This window comes from Homo sapiens, chromosome 3 (assembly GCF_000001405.40).
Source record: "Homo sapiens chromosome 3, GRCh38.p14 Primary Assembly".
In the NCBI taxonomy this organism is placed as follows: Eukaryota; Metazoa; Chordata; class Mammalia; order Primates; family Hominidae; genus Homo; species Homo sapiens.
The window spans coordinates 37,935,130-37,949,446 of record NC_000003.12 but is presented as its reverse complement, the minus strand read 5'-3'; the positions used below and the strand labels follow the sequence as shown (position 1 = coordinate 37,949,446).

General features: G+C 44.6%; 1 protein-coding gene across 5 annotated transcripts in view, besides 2 other annotated features; it reads right to left on the bottom strand.

The window, feature by feature from the left end:
* The window catches only part of CTDSPL (CTD small phosphatase like), a 122,590-nt gene that overhangs the window by 35,023 nt on the left and 73,250 nt on the right, over nucleotides 1-14,317 (bottom strand). For all 5 annotated transcript variants that reach the window (NM_001008392.2, NM_001438028.1, NM_005808.3 and 2 more), the window contains exon 2: nucleotides 2,236-2,390. In NM_001008392.2, coding sequence (NP_001008393.1) covers nucleotides 2,236-2,390 — 155 coding nt within the window. The remainder of the gene's footprint in view (nucleotides 1-2,235; nucleotides 2,391-14,317) is intronic.
* Nucleotides 13,996-14,140: an enhancer, noted in NCBI's record as "145 bp enhancer 248 fragment used in the MPRA reporter construct; PK_construct_272". NCBI's record gives its function as "activates an SV40 promoter by MPRA in HepG2 cells {active_cell/tissue: HepG2}" and the evidence as "EXISTENCE:reporter gene assay evidence [ECO:0000049][PMID:23512712]".
* Nucleotides 14,061-14,074: a transcriptional cis regulatory region, noted in NCBI's record as "HNF1 motif; enhancer activity is reduced when this motif is scrambled". NCBI's record gives its function as "necessary for full MPRA enhancer 248 activity {active_cell/tissue: HepG2}" and the evidence as "EXISTENCE:site-directed mutagenesis evidence [ECO:0005528][PMID:23512712]".

Sequence of the window (14,317 nt, the reverse complement as noted above, 5' to 3'; positions counted from 1 at the left end):
TTCTATAGTTTTTTTAACCAACTGCCTGTTGTTGAACATCGGGTTGCTTATAATTTTTCGGTATTATAATCTATGCTGGATGGTACCTCATGGTTAAATCTTTGCACATTCATAATTATGTCCATAAAGGGGAACTGCCTGCATCAACAAATAGGGATATTTTTAAGGCTTTAAGATGATATTGCCAAATTTTCCTCCAGAAAGGTGTCATCAATTAACATTGTTACCAGCAACTTATTTACATTCTCTATCCTCCCTCCTACCACTCCATGCTAAAACCAAATATTGTGTTTAAAAATATCTTTGATAAGTAGAAAGCTGGAAAATGGCCGGGCGCGGTGGCTCACGCCTGTAATCCCAGCACTTTGGGAGGCTGAGGCGGGTGGATCATGAGGTCAGGAGATCGAGACCATCCTGGCTAACAAGGTGAAACCCCGTCTCTACTAAAAATACAAAAAATTAGCCGGGCGCGGTGGCGGGCGCCTGTAGTCCCAGCTACTCGGGAGGCTGAGGCAGGAGAATGGCGTGAACCCGGGAAGCGGAGCTTGCAGTGAGCCGAGATTGCGCCACTGCAGTCCGCAGTCCGGCCTGGGCGACAGAGCGAGACTCCGTCTCAAAAAAAAAAAAAAAAAAAAAAAGAAAGCTGGAAAATGGTCTCTCATTATTTAGTTTGCATTTCTTCCATTATTAAACATGTTAAATATTTTTCATGTATTTATATGTGCAACATTTTTCTTATTTTTTCGTATGTTTGACCATATGAAAACCTTCAGCCTAATTCCTATGCTTCTACACTCCAAGCCTGTGAGACAAACCAGGCAACAGTAGTGTTCTCAGCCTTGCAGAAGCAATGTGGCTACTGCCACCGCCCACAGCCACTCCTGGTCTATGATATCAACAAGACTGAACCATATTTCTTATTTTGTGAATTACCTGTTTGTGTCCTTTGCTCATGTTATTTGGAACATAAAGTTTTATGACTTTTGTGTCCTCAAATGTCAACTATCTTCATAATGAATAATCTTCTTTCAGTGATTTTTCCTGAAATTCCATTTTGACTGAGATTAATATTGTAACCCTTGTTTTCTTTTAATTTATATTTGTATGAGGTCTCTTCGCTCATCCTTATTCCTTATACATATATACATATATTTTTTTTTTTGAGATGGAGTTTCAGTCTTGTCACTCAGGCTGGAGTGCAGTGGCGTGATCTTGGCTCACTGCAACCTCCGTCTCCCAGGTTCAAGCGATTCTCCAGCCTCAGCCTCCCGAGTAGCTGGGATTACAGGTGCCCACCACCATGCCTGGCTAATTTTTGTATTTTTGCTACAGAAGGGGTTTCGCCATGTTGGCCAGGCTGGTCTCTAACTCCTGACCTCAGGTGATCTGCCCGCCTTGGCCTCCCAAAGTGCTGGGATTACAGGCGTGAGCCACCATGCCTGGCCTCATCCTTATACTTCTAACTGTTCTGAGTAACTTTGTTTCAGATCTGTGTTAGCATGTGGGTAGATTTTGGTTTTTGACCTATTGTGACAATCTGACATATTTTATTTGATACATACAAAAGAATATATAACATGTTTGTTATTAAACAAGGTAGTTACACTCAATTATTTTATTGCTAGCTCTTCTCTATGTCTGTTTCTCTTTTTATCTATTTGTGAGTCTGCTACTGGTTGTTTAACTGTTTCATGCATTCAACTTCCCAAGAGAGAATGTTATAAAAATGTGAAGTGACTAATGTAACTCCCATCAAATATAATCCTTAGTTGCTAAATGAGATATCCTTTATCAAAAAAGGTTACTTTTCTTGGTAATTTCAAATCTTTAAGTAAATGGCTGTACACATACTATCACATATTCTTTTCTTTTTGTTTTTTGTTTTTGAGACATAGTTTCGCTCTTATTGCCCAGGCTAGAGTGCAATGGCGGGATCTTGGCTCACTGCAACCTCCGCCTCCCAGGTTCAAGCGATTCTCCTGCCTCAGCCTCCCTAGTAGCTGGGATTACAGGCGCCTGCCACCACGCCCAGCTAATTTTTTGTATTTTTAGTAGAGATGGGGTTTCACTATATTGGCCAGGCTGGTCTCAAACTCCTGACCTCAGTGCTGATATTACAGACGTGAGCCACCACGCCTGGCTCTGCATATTCTTCTTAAGGATATTCATCAAGGATGGGACAGAGATGCCACTGCTGCAGTTTTATGGAGGGCACAGTTCCTCACCAGTACTGACCTTCTGAAGCCCACCATTCTCCTCCACCAGTGGCGGAAGCACACTGGGGCTGCTGGGTGGAGGGGCCTCCACATTGTAATCACGGAAGCAGCAGAAGAAGGAGCTAAGGATGCTGCGGCTCCTCTGCTTCTTTAAGCTGACGTTGCACTGGGAGGCTGGAAACAGAAACAGAGCACACTATGGCCAACTGCAGCATGTACTGATAGTTGTAATATAATGCAAAAATCTGAGTGTGCAGTTGCCCCCCAGACCCCAGATTCCAGCCCTGAGGGCCTGCTCAGCAGGAGAAGATGAGGGGCTCCTGGAAGTTACTCTAAAGAACTGTGAATCAAATGTGAGAATCCCAGGAGCCAGCTAGTTGATGGAGTCCAATCCCTCTGGCTGGACAGGATCCCTTTGACCTCAGCCCAGCAGGGGCTGCCTGCTTATTAACTGACCCACCCACAGGGTCAGTCCCCATCTGCATTCCTGAACCTAGCAGATGAAGTATTCCCACCCTGCACCAAGCACTACTTCAAAACAAACATCTTCTCAGGCACAAATCGACTTGACACTCCCTGGGAAGCATCTCTCCATTATGGATACCAACAAATAATCACTTTGAATCTAGGTTCTTGGACATCCCCTGCTCACTATGGAAATGACTAACTTCGTGGGTTAAGAAATGAGATATGTAAAGGCACAAAAGAACCGCCTGCTTAAACTCGCCAAGAGTTTGTCAAGAAGTTGGTGGGGGCCTGGATCCACAGAGCTTAGGGCTGAAGGCTTCCTTTACACTTAAAAAACATAAACAGCAGGAGATGTTGGATGGAGAACACATGTTCCTGCCCAAGTAGGGCCAGCCAGGGCAAAGCCCATCTTCACGAGATCCAGGGCAATACTGTGCCCTGGCCTGCTCTGAACTAAGGCACTGGAGGGAGTGACACATCCTTTCTGTTTATCCAAGGCTCACGACAAGCTGCCACAAGTCAGGAATAAAAGGTGAAAATTAGTATAGATGAAAAACACCCCTCAGGGGAGGACTGACAACTTTGAGGGGCAGGAGTATTTGCCTGGGAATGCAGCCGGGACTGTCCCACCACATGCCATGCCTGGGCGGATCAGTGGTGCACTGAGAAGAGGCCGCAGGCAAGGGACCATGCTTAGGATTAATGGGAAAATTGCCAGAGCAGGAAATGATTTAAGTCCACATGATAACTGTTGGAGCTTATCTCTTCTCCCAAAAAGCAATTCTGGCACAATTCCTCTTTTTGTGCACTTACGAGTGATTTGTGTAACACCTAGTTCCTCCCAAGAGATCACAAAACCTTTGCTGAATGTTTTGGGGGTGCTCTTCTGCCAGCAGCAAAACTAAGTGCATTCAGATGGAAATTCTGAAAAGGGACTGAAAAGCTGTTATTCCAGCAACTCCACAGATATGAATGGTTTCTACCCTAGGTTTGGGCAAATGGCCCAGTAAGTATGAATTTAAGATCCACACTTACTAAAGATGAGCTTCAGAACCATAAATCTCTGAGAAAGCTGGCTGTTTTTATCTTCCTCAAGGATCCTTGGGTGCCTGTCATAGAGTACCAGCCATCTCATTTCAGGCGTCTCATTTCAAAGGCAGGTCAGGCCAGACCAGGCCATTGGGACCGCCAGGCATGCGGGCCACCTAAGTGGCAGTGTGGGAAGAGATAATAATCACTGTTTACCAAGGGCCAACCCTGTAGGTCCCGATAGTTCACAAACCTCATCTCACATACTCCTAAGGAGATAGGTTTACTGCTTCCACCTTACTGCTGAGAAAATACAACTATTGAGAAAATACAGCAGGATTGTGTCGGTTCCTTTGCCAGATTCAAACCCAAGTGGGCCTGTTTCCAAAGTGTGTGATTTCCCCATGTGCCATGCTGAATACAATCTTGAAACAACTTAGGTTAGATTAAGAAGGTGGAACATGCCAAATAGGGAGAGAAAAGCATTGCAATAAACTTGTATTTAATATAAATGATTCGTTAAACCATTTCATTGTTACTCTGGGTGTTTTAATTTTTATGCCACACCCAGATAATTTAGTCAGGGGGAAAAAAAAATCTTTTCCCTGGCTGATAGCACATTCCTCTGCAAGTAAACAAGCTATTTGTTCATGTCTCAGAGACACTGAGCAGTCTGCAGAAAGCACCTTCCCAGGTCCTATTTTCATCCTTGGATCACACGAACTTTCCCCATAACTAACTAACTAACTAATTAACAAATGAACTTACATACTAAAAAATTCATAAACTTGGAACCAGTACACTATTCATAATTTCTACCACATGATTACTTACTGTACAGAAGCTACACACTGCTAACGGAGTCAGTAAATTAGTTATCTGAACACCTGGGAGGCCATCGTGCCTCCAGACAGGGAAAGGGAGCTTACCCAGGTCTTTCCTTCTCTGTATAAAGAGTGAAGCAGCCAAAGTGGTTTCATTTTCACAGCTGTGGGAGGTTCCAGGATTCTTCCTTTCAAATAAGGTTAGTTCTAGGGCCTGCAGGAACCTCTTGGAGGCTCAGTGGCTAATTTTCTAATCACTCTTGGATTGGTCTAGAACTCTCAGAATAGGAGAAGTGGGAAGGGTAAATGGAAGGATTTCCTCAGTATCAGCACTGGCCTCACCCACCCTCAGCATTCACTTGTTCCTGAATAGGGCTCCAGACGTGGGTGCTCTGGACTAATGACCCTACTGCCTTCCAGCCCCAGCTGCTACTTCTCTCCCCCAGCTATCATCCAGAAGGTCCTTGATTTGCTCATAAACTGGTAAGAGAGTTTTGGTTGACACATGAAATAAAAATTCAGTTTAATGGACAAATGTTGACGTCATAACATTAGGTGAAAAAGTTAATATATATTATTGTATATCTGACTTGATCATAACTAAGCAAAGCAAACTAAAAAAGATTATAATTGAGAAAAGATTTGCAAGAAATATGTCAAAAGGTTAACAGTAATTAATTGTCAGACCATAAGTGTTTACATTTCTTCCACATTTTCCAAATGTTTTCTGGTAATTATGTATTGCTCTAATAATGGGGGGGGAGTAAACAGTCTTGTTAAACTGTCTTTTGGCAACTTTGTGCTATTTCTAAACCATATCCTCCTTCTAATTCTCAACCTTCAGCCTAATTCGTACGCTTCTACACTCCAAGCCTATGACACAAACCAGGCAACAGCAGTGTTCTCAGCCTTGCAGAAGCAATGTGGCTACTGTCACGGCCCACAGCCACTCCTGGTCTATGATATCAACAAGAATGAACATACCCACCAAACTCAAAACCGGAGGAGGCCCATGTGAAAAGAAGGTACCAAAGAAGTGTCCTTTTCCCAGTAGAACGCTCCTGCTGGCTTTCTCATCTGGCATCCAGCTCCACCGCTCATCCTCCTTGTACACACAAAAGGGGTCTTGTTGCTTCTCTGCTTTGACCAAGACTTTACCTCTCACCACCTTTCCTCGCTTGCCCCCTTTACGTTTCCACTGATAAGACACATGAGAGGTCTCCTGGTGGCCCAGGTATCCAAGAACAAGGTCTTTTAGGATATTAAAGATAGTTGAATGCATACATCTCCCCATAACATTGGTTTTAAGAAATTACTTTGGAAGAGCAAAGGAGGGAGTAGCAACTATGAACGTCAGTCTAAAATATTCCGTAACGATTTTCATTTTTAAAAATCAGACTTAGGAGGAAGGAGTCATCAAAAGTCATTCCAAAGTTTTCTGTCACTTTTCCCTGATAACCTCCCTTATCCAAACCCAGCACCTGCCCACCTTACTCCCTAGCTTCCTCCATGGTAGACTCCTCATCACACTGACATCCCTTCTCCCACTCCTCCTCCCCCCATTTCCCCACTTCTCAGAGCATCCTGCTCTTCAGAGCCTGGCTCAAAGCCAACCTCACCCAGGAAGCCTTCGCCAACCGCCCCATGGAGATCATTTGTTCTTTGGCCACTAAACTCCCAAATGAACGTGTGTCTGACTGAGCTGTGTCTTTGGGCCAGGCCAGTTCATCCACCTGTCTGCTGGACATCTCCTCTGGATGCCTCGACTCAGCATATCTAAATGGGGCTCACCACTCCCCTCTTCACTCAGGGTACCAATATCCTAAGCTAGACATCTGTCCTTTTCCCTCATTAAGTTGTTGGTTCTGACATCCTAATCGATTCTTAAATATATCCTTAGCAACTCCTTGTCCCTGCCCTATCCTGGCTCAGGTCCACTACAGTTGCTTTTTGACTTGTCTCTCTGCTGTTGATTTTGCATCCCACAATTAATTCTTGACATGACAGGTAAAGCCCATCAAGTTAGAAAAATGTGTGGTGGTTAGGAATGTGGGCTCCAATGCCAACTTGCCTAGGTGCGAAATCTGGCTCAACCAGCAACAGTACAGGACCTGGGCAAGTTGTGTGACTTCTTTGTGCCTCAGTTTCTTTATCTGTAAAATGGGGATAATAAATACCCATCTTAGGGTTTGTTGTGAGAATTAAATGAGTTCTTATAACAGTGCCTAGCATAGAGCAAGCACTCCATAATTTTTGTTTGTTTTTTAAAGACAGGGTCTCACTCTGTCACCCAGGCTGGAGTACAGTGGTACAGTCTTGGCTCACTGCAACCTCTACCCCCGGGGCTCAAGACATCCTCCCACCTCAGTCTCCCAAGTAGCTGGGACTATAGGCATGTGCCACCACGCCCAGCCAATTTTTCTATTTTTAGTAGAGACAGGGTCTTGTCATGCTACTCAGGCAGGTCTCAAACTCCTGAGCTCAAGTGATCTGCTTGCCTCGGCCTCCCGAAGTGCTGGGCTTACAGTTGTGAGGCACCACACCCAGGCTATATACATTTTAGCTTTTATTATTATAGTCTCATAAAAGCTTTCGCTTCATAAATGAGTGAGGGTTCTCCAGGAACGCTGGATCAAAGGCTGGATTCTGCGGGCGTACATTTTTTTCTCTGCTATCTGACAACTAGGAGAAACAACTCACTATAACAGATCTTGGTTACATAAACTGTAATTCAGAAAGCAAAACTAGAAAAATCTCAGGAAGTGATTTTAATCAATTGCTCTAAAAATTAGATATAGACATGGGGAAGGAAAAGGGAGGGGTTGCATGTCCCAGTGAGCTCTGCTGGGGGCTGTTTTCCCTTAGGAAAAGAACAATGCTTTCAAGTGGAGGTCAGGAAGCATACACTCTCCCTCCCCAATCCCCTTACTTAATTCCCTCTGGGGCTGAAGCTTAGCTCTCTTCTGCAGAGCATTCTGCCTGCTGGGTCTGCATCTGGTTCCAGGGACTTCTTATCTCAAGCTGTACATCAGAAAGGAGCATTGAGGAGGACCATGCAAGGAGGACCACAGAGGTGGCTAGCTGACCCAGCAGTCTCCCCTGCCGGGTCCCCCAATAGGCTACAACATGCTGCCATTTTCCCAAGGCTCAGCCCGGGGCAGGCCTGCTTTGAAGGACCACCCTCTTTCTCCTCCTTATCCCTGTCAATGAAAACATGCCCGGCCCAAATGCGGTGGCTCATTCCTGTATCCCAGCACTTGGGGAGGCCAAGGCGGGCAGATCACCTGAGGCCAGAAGTTTGAGACCAGCCTGGACAACATGGCGAAACCCTGTTTCTACTAAGAATACAAAAATTAGCGGAGTGTGGTGGCGGGCCCCTGTAATCCCAGCTACTCAGGAGGCCGAGGCACAAGTTGCAGTGAGCTGACATAACGCCACCACACTCCAGCCTGGGTGACAGGGTGAGACTCTGTCTCAAAAAAAAAAAAAAGAAAAAAAGATAGAAAGAAAGCATGCCCATAGCCGGTCCCAGCACACAAAGATGCCATGGGCACAGATACCCCACAGGGAGAGTAAAGGGAAATCCTTGATAGAGGTAGATGAGGTAGAGAAGTTAAAGACTTAACTTTCTCCATTTCTGTGCACAAACTCGGGTGGAGTAGAAACCCTGGAGAGGGTTGTGAAGAGCTGGAGATGTGGGGCATGGTCCCTGTGTATCCACTGGAGGAACAGGGTAGCATGTGGCTCTGTTTTCCTGGATATGCCCTTAGAGCTAATGCTTCTGCCTAGGCCCCTGGCCCTGGTGTCACTGCAGCCCAGCAAATTAAGACCCTGTTTCCCACTCATACACATTTCTCCCTTGCCCCTCCCATGGGCTGGGGACCTCCTATCTGCCAGCAATAGGCTTACAGAGGGTCTATGAATGGGGCAGCTTAAAGTACACATATAGACAACTGCCTTCCTCTCTAAAGACAAGACAGGAAGCCTTCCAAATGCTTCCCTGGTCTTCTAGGCAGAGTGCTGGCCCAGCAGCAAGAACCCGTATCTTCAAAGCACCAGTTACAGATGGGGAGTGTAGTGGACATCTGACATTTTTTGCCTGCCAGAATCCATTACCCTTCTTTCTGGTAAAAGTTCCTCTATTTTCCTCTGGGGAACCACTCTCACCCTACCAATGTTCTGTCCTTTATCAAGGGCTGGCCAATCTGAGCCACATGACTGGCTTAGGGATGGGCACGTGACCCACCCTGGACCAAAGACTCTGCAAGGATTCATGCAAGCCCTATTGGAAGGGATATTTGCCTTTTGCTGGGTTTCTTAACATGGCAGGATGTAAGCCTGGAGCAATTGGTAGTCATCTTTGCACCTCGTAAGAAATACCTACCTGAGCATGAAGCCAAAACTGAGAAAAAAGGAGCTGGGTTACAAAGAAGGACAGATTTCTGACGACACTGTCTGAGGACTTGGTTTTATTAAAACCAGACCCTTCTGGAATTTTCAGTTATGTAAGTAAACAAATTCTCTTTTGCTCCTAAGCCAATATAATTGGGTTTATGTGATTTGAAATGGAAAGGATTGTCTCTCAAAATGTAAGCTCTGATGCTAGGTGGTACAGAAGCATTGACCAACAACATAGGCAGGGGTCAGACCTCATGAAGCCCACATCTAGCAGGAGAGACATTTGAATATGTACTTCTGGTATACAATGAGTCTTGTTAGGATGGGAAAGTGCAGAGCACTCTTGGTGCCCAAAGAAGAGCACATAGCCCAGACTGGGGACTATGAGTAGCGAGGGGTATAGAAATAGCTTTTTTTTTTGAGACGGAGTCTTGCTCTGTCACCCAGGCTAGAGTACAGTGGTGCGATCTCGGCACACTGCAACCTCTGCCTCCCGGGTTCAAGTGATTCTCCTGCCTCACCCTCCTGAGTAGCTGGGACTACAGGCGCCTGCCACCAAGCCCGGCTAATTTTTGTATTTTTAGTAGAGACGGGGTTTCACCATATTGGCCAGGCTGGTCTTGAACTCCTGACCTTGTGATCCATCTGCCTTGGCCTTCCAAAGTGCGGGGATTATAGGCGTGAACCACCGTGCCCAGCCCAGAAATGCCTTCTTGAAAGAAGCTGGGCTGAAAGTTTCATTAATTTTTTTGTGGTGGGAGGAGCAGGTGAAACAGCAATGTGTAAAAGGCCTGGTGTGAGAGAAAGCACAAAACATTTAAGAAATCAAAGGAGTAGCAAGGAGTATGAGATAGGAGTAATGACAGCAAGGGCCTTGCAAGCCATGGAGATGAGTTTGGATTTGATGTTATGGAAAAGGGGAGTGACGGGATCAGATTTGTACCATGAATGTCACTGTCTTAGCTCTGTAATTAAAACTACTGAGTTTAAACTTTAAATTATGACCAATGCAGCCAAGATCCAGGATATCTGCAAATTACACAGGTTGCCATTTAAGAGCCTAGAGTGAAATTTTTTATTCAGAAATTGACTTTAAATATAAGTTACATGGAAAGAACACAGGCTTTGGAATTACATTTAGGTTCAAGTCCCAGCCCTGCCACTTGTTAGCCCGTGTGACCTCACCTACCTCCGTAGCAACAATAATACAGGAATGATAATCCCTACCCCACAGGACTATTGTATGGGCACAGTGAAAACATGTATGTTTGTGTAAGAGAGAAAATCTACCAGCAGCTTCAAACATAACAAAAAATTGTGACTGGTTTAGGTACAGTGCAGGGTCTCACTGTGAACATGGAGAATTTAGCTTGTATCCAGACAACGGTCCTCACAAAAACAGCCTGGCTTTATGAAAAAACATGTAGGCAGATCCATTTTGTTTTTGGTTATGTGAAGTCTAAACTTAGAACATTAAGTAGCTCTTTAAAACTTTACCTCCTATCCAGTAAAGTTTTCTCTGTATAATAATAACAGTAATGATGATAGAAACTAAACAAACAAAAAAGCAGCTCCACATGTGGGGCTTAAAACAAACCTTAGGACTCAGGTCTTTTCTATGAAATCTCATATTAAATATGGTTAGAAAGAAAGTGTTGTAATTAAAAACATGAAATGGTGGCATGCATCTGTAGTCCCAGCTACTCGGGAGGCTGAGGGAGGAGAATCGTTTGAACCCAGGAGGCGGAGGTTGCAGTGAGCCGAGATCACGCCACTGCACTCCAGCCTGGGCAACAGAGCAAGACTCCATTTCAAAAAAAACAAAAAAAAAACCCACAAAAAAACAAAAAACATGAAATGTTCAGGGCAAAGTCCACTGAAGCTGACAGTGGGGCTTGGTCCTTCAGTGGCCCAAGAAGACTGGTCTAAAGAGCTACCCAACAGATGTTTATGTTTATGCCAACAGATGGAGGCACAACTGGGTCCACATCCAGCTCATATCATAGGCTGAGGGTGCATTTCTCTTGTACTTCCTGACCTAACTGGTTCCCTTCAGTATCCAGAAGTTGAAATGTTGACCCCAAATAGCCAGCATTTCTTAATTAGTGTGATATCTGCCCATGCCATATAACCAGTGACTTTTTATAATTCTTTCATTCTGATCTGGTTTAGATTCAAGACGGGGGAGGCTTTGGAACCATCCTTAACCCCTGGCTTCAGGACCCAAACCTCTGAGGTCTGCACCGATTCAGAGCTTCACATACTCACATTCCTGAGCATACCCACCCACACCCATACACAGCTTCCATCTCTCCTATCTGTGATCTGACCTAAAACTCCCAGCACCCCACACACCTCTACACAATCAAAGGAGTTCAGGACAAGATCAGAGTAGCTGGAATGTAGGTGGAAATGTTTGCTACTCACTATGAATCCATCCCTCAACATTCAAGTTTCTCCTCAAGTGAAGAAACTACAACTTGGTAGCTACAGAAAACAAAGGCTTGCCTTTCATTTCTATGGTGCCGAGCCAGCCTCTCACAATATAAATGTGCTGGCACAGGGGCCGGATCCCTGAAGACCCAGCATGATAAAATTTTCAGAAGAAAACTGACTTAACACTGACAAAGATTCTTTGCTTGACCAAACTTCAGTCAGACTCCTAAACTCCTAGGTCCACCTGCATACTTCCTTGTAAAATCCAAATTTAGCAACATCCCTGCTAAATCAGTTTAGCAAGAATCCTCCATCCTCCATATCTGACTGCTCTTGATACATAATTGGTTTCCTCACCCTCCACCATCTCCCAGGTGATGACTGATCTACCCTGGCTTGTCTTCATCAAGAATCCTGTTAGTTCAGTGCCTCATTCCATTTAGCACTGGTGTAACAGAATACTTGAAACTGGGTAATTTATAAAGAAAAGAAGTTTATTTGGCTCACAATTCTGGAGGTTGAAAAGTCCAAGACTGGGTAGCCCAGCTGGCGAGGGTCTCGCGCTGCTTCAACTTATGGTGGAAAGCACAAAGTGGAGGGGGTATGCATAGAAGGAGGGAGGGCAAACGTGAGGAGGAGCCTTTCTTTATAACAACCTACTCTCAAGGTAACTAATCCAGTCCCATAAGAGCAAGAACTCACTCAGGCCAGATGGTATTTACTTACTCATGAGGGATCTGTCCCTGGGACTCAGACAGCTCCCATTAGGTTCCACCTCCCAACACCACTACAATGGCAACGGCACCCCAATATGAGCTTTGGTGGGGACAAACCACGTCTAAACCATAGCAGTCAGATAAGCCACAAGCCCCCCTACCTCTGATGTTTCTTCTTAGCAGTTTTCTATCCACTGACTCCCATCCTACTCCTTGGCTGTGAGTACTCACTTGTCCATGCTGTATTCAGAATTGAGCCTGGTTTTGGACTGATGTCTCTTTCCTTCTACTGCAACAGTTTTCAATAAAATCTGCTTTTGCTGCTTTAACTACTGCCCAGGTCTGGTTTTCTCTGACAACACACCAAATGTACTGCTAATGATTCAAAGCACCAAAAGCCTGCCCTCAAACTAGCTTCTTTCTCATCACAAGAGCAGAACTAAGAAGGTAATCCATCGCAGATTTACATTGTTCAAGTATTTATAGCAGAACATTAAACATATGCTCTGTACCAAGCATCAGTGGGGACATCAATGCTGTTAATGCTACAAAACTGAACACTGAAATTGCCCAAGTGAAGGCTATTTCTTCACATGTGGGAAGGTCAGAGCCATTACAACCTTAAAGAAATCATAGAGTTGAATTCACAACTACATTATTACGGAATAAGCTAAACACCTTTTTTTTTTTTTTTTTTTTTTTTAACTGGGGAGAGGAGGAACTCTTTCTGAAGGCCAGGGACATTTAAATGAATGCGCCATTTCTTCTCTTTGAGAATTGGGCCGTAATCTCTGGAATGCATCCCAGGGCCGTGGTTTGGAATGGGTGTCTAACAGGAAATTCTGGGCAGTCTATGCATACATTACATTCCTTTCCCACCCTGAAAGAGTGGTCAACAAACACAACTGTCCTCTGTTTGAATAAAAGGGGGAGTGTTGGGAGTGGTAAGAGGCCAGGGCACAAACCGCACAGAGTTCAAAAGCAGATGTGGCTGCTGAGAATCCAAACATCCTTTTCTTCTAGAAAAGAGACTCAGTCACTAAGAGTCACCTTTTGAGATACCCAGTCAGTCCTTCTCCTATTTCCATGAGATAAATGTCCCCAGGGAATTCCTACCGGACACTCTATAAAAGAAACGTACCTTTGAAAGCTCATTTTCCCACTGCAGTACTGGCAGTAGTCCCTCCAGCAGTGACAAACCAAGGGAAGGAGCAAGGCTGATGGCTTAACAATGGTCAGGAGGGATTCTGCTCTCATCTTCCACAAAGGCAGATGTGTTTCCCCATCCACTGTGGGTTCATAACAACCCACATTTGTTGAGTGCCTTATTTGTGTGTGCAAAGCCCCTGACATAAATCGTTTCTGGTCTTCACAGTATGCAATACTGACATGACCAACCCATTTTCCGATGAGAAAACAGAGACTCAAAGTACCTATTCTCAACTATGCATCGGGATTGCTGGGGTTCAAAGCCAGAACAACCTGACTCCAGGGCTCCCAGCTTTCCCACTTGCCCCTCCCTACCTTTCCCTGGGACTCTTGTAGGTTTTGATCTAATTTCCATAGAGAAACTCTGAATCTGAGGCCCAATGCTGCCTGCCTTCACTCCAAATGCCACGTTTGAAAACTACTCCAGAACAAACCCATAATACTCCTGGTAGCCTTATTAGATGATGCCAGACAAGGTCCCACCACACCTTAAATGTACCCAGGCCACCAACCTCTCACTAATTCTGCTTCTCAGAAGAGCTCCTCTGCTGGAAATGCCCTTCCTTGCCTCAGCACTTCCCTAAACCCCTGTGACCAAGGTCACATAGCTTCTAAGTAGCAGGGCTGGACATAAACCAGATTTGTATGAGTCTAGAATCTGAGCCCTTAGCCATCACTGCACAGAGTCTGTTTATAACATTTAGAGCCAAAATAAGTAACAGAACAAAGGATGTGAACAGATAATGCACTTAAGAGGAAGTAAAGGTTAAAATTTAACAATAATCAAATAAAAGAAGTTTAAACAACAAGGCCCCGTTTTTTTTTTAACCTATTAAATGAATAGAAATGATAAAAACATATAGACGATGGTGGTGAGATTTTCATGGCACAGGCCCATTCACTCACATGTTGCTGGTTGCTCTGTAAACTGGGACAATTCACTTGAAAAGCAGTTGAGTAACGTGCCAAAGACTATGAAGTATTCATGCAAACAATATGAATGTCCAACAGAGTAGGAATA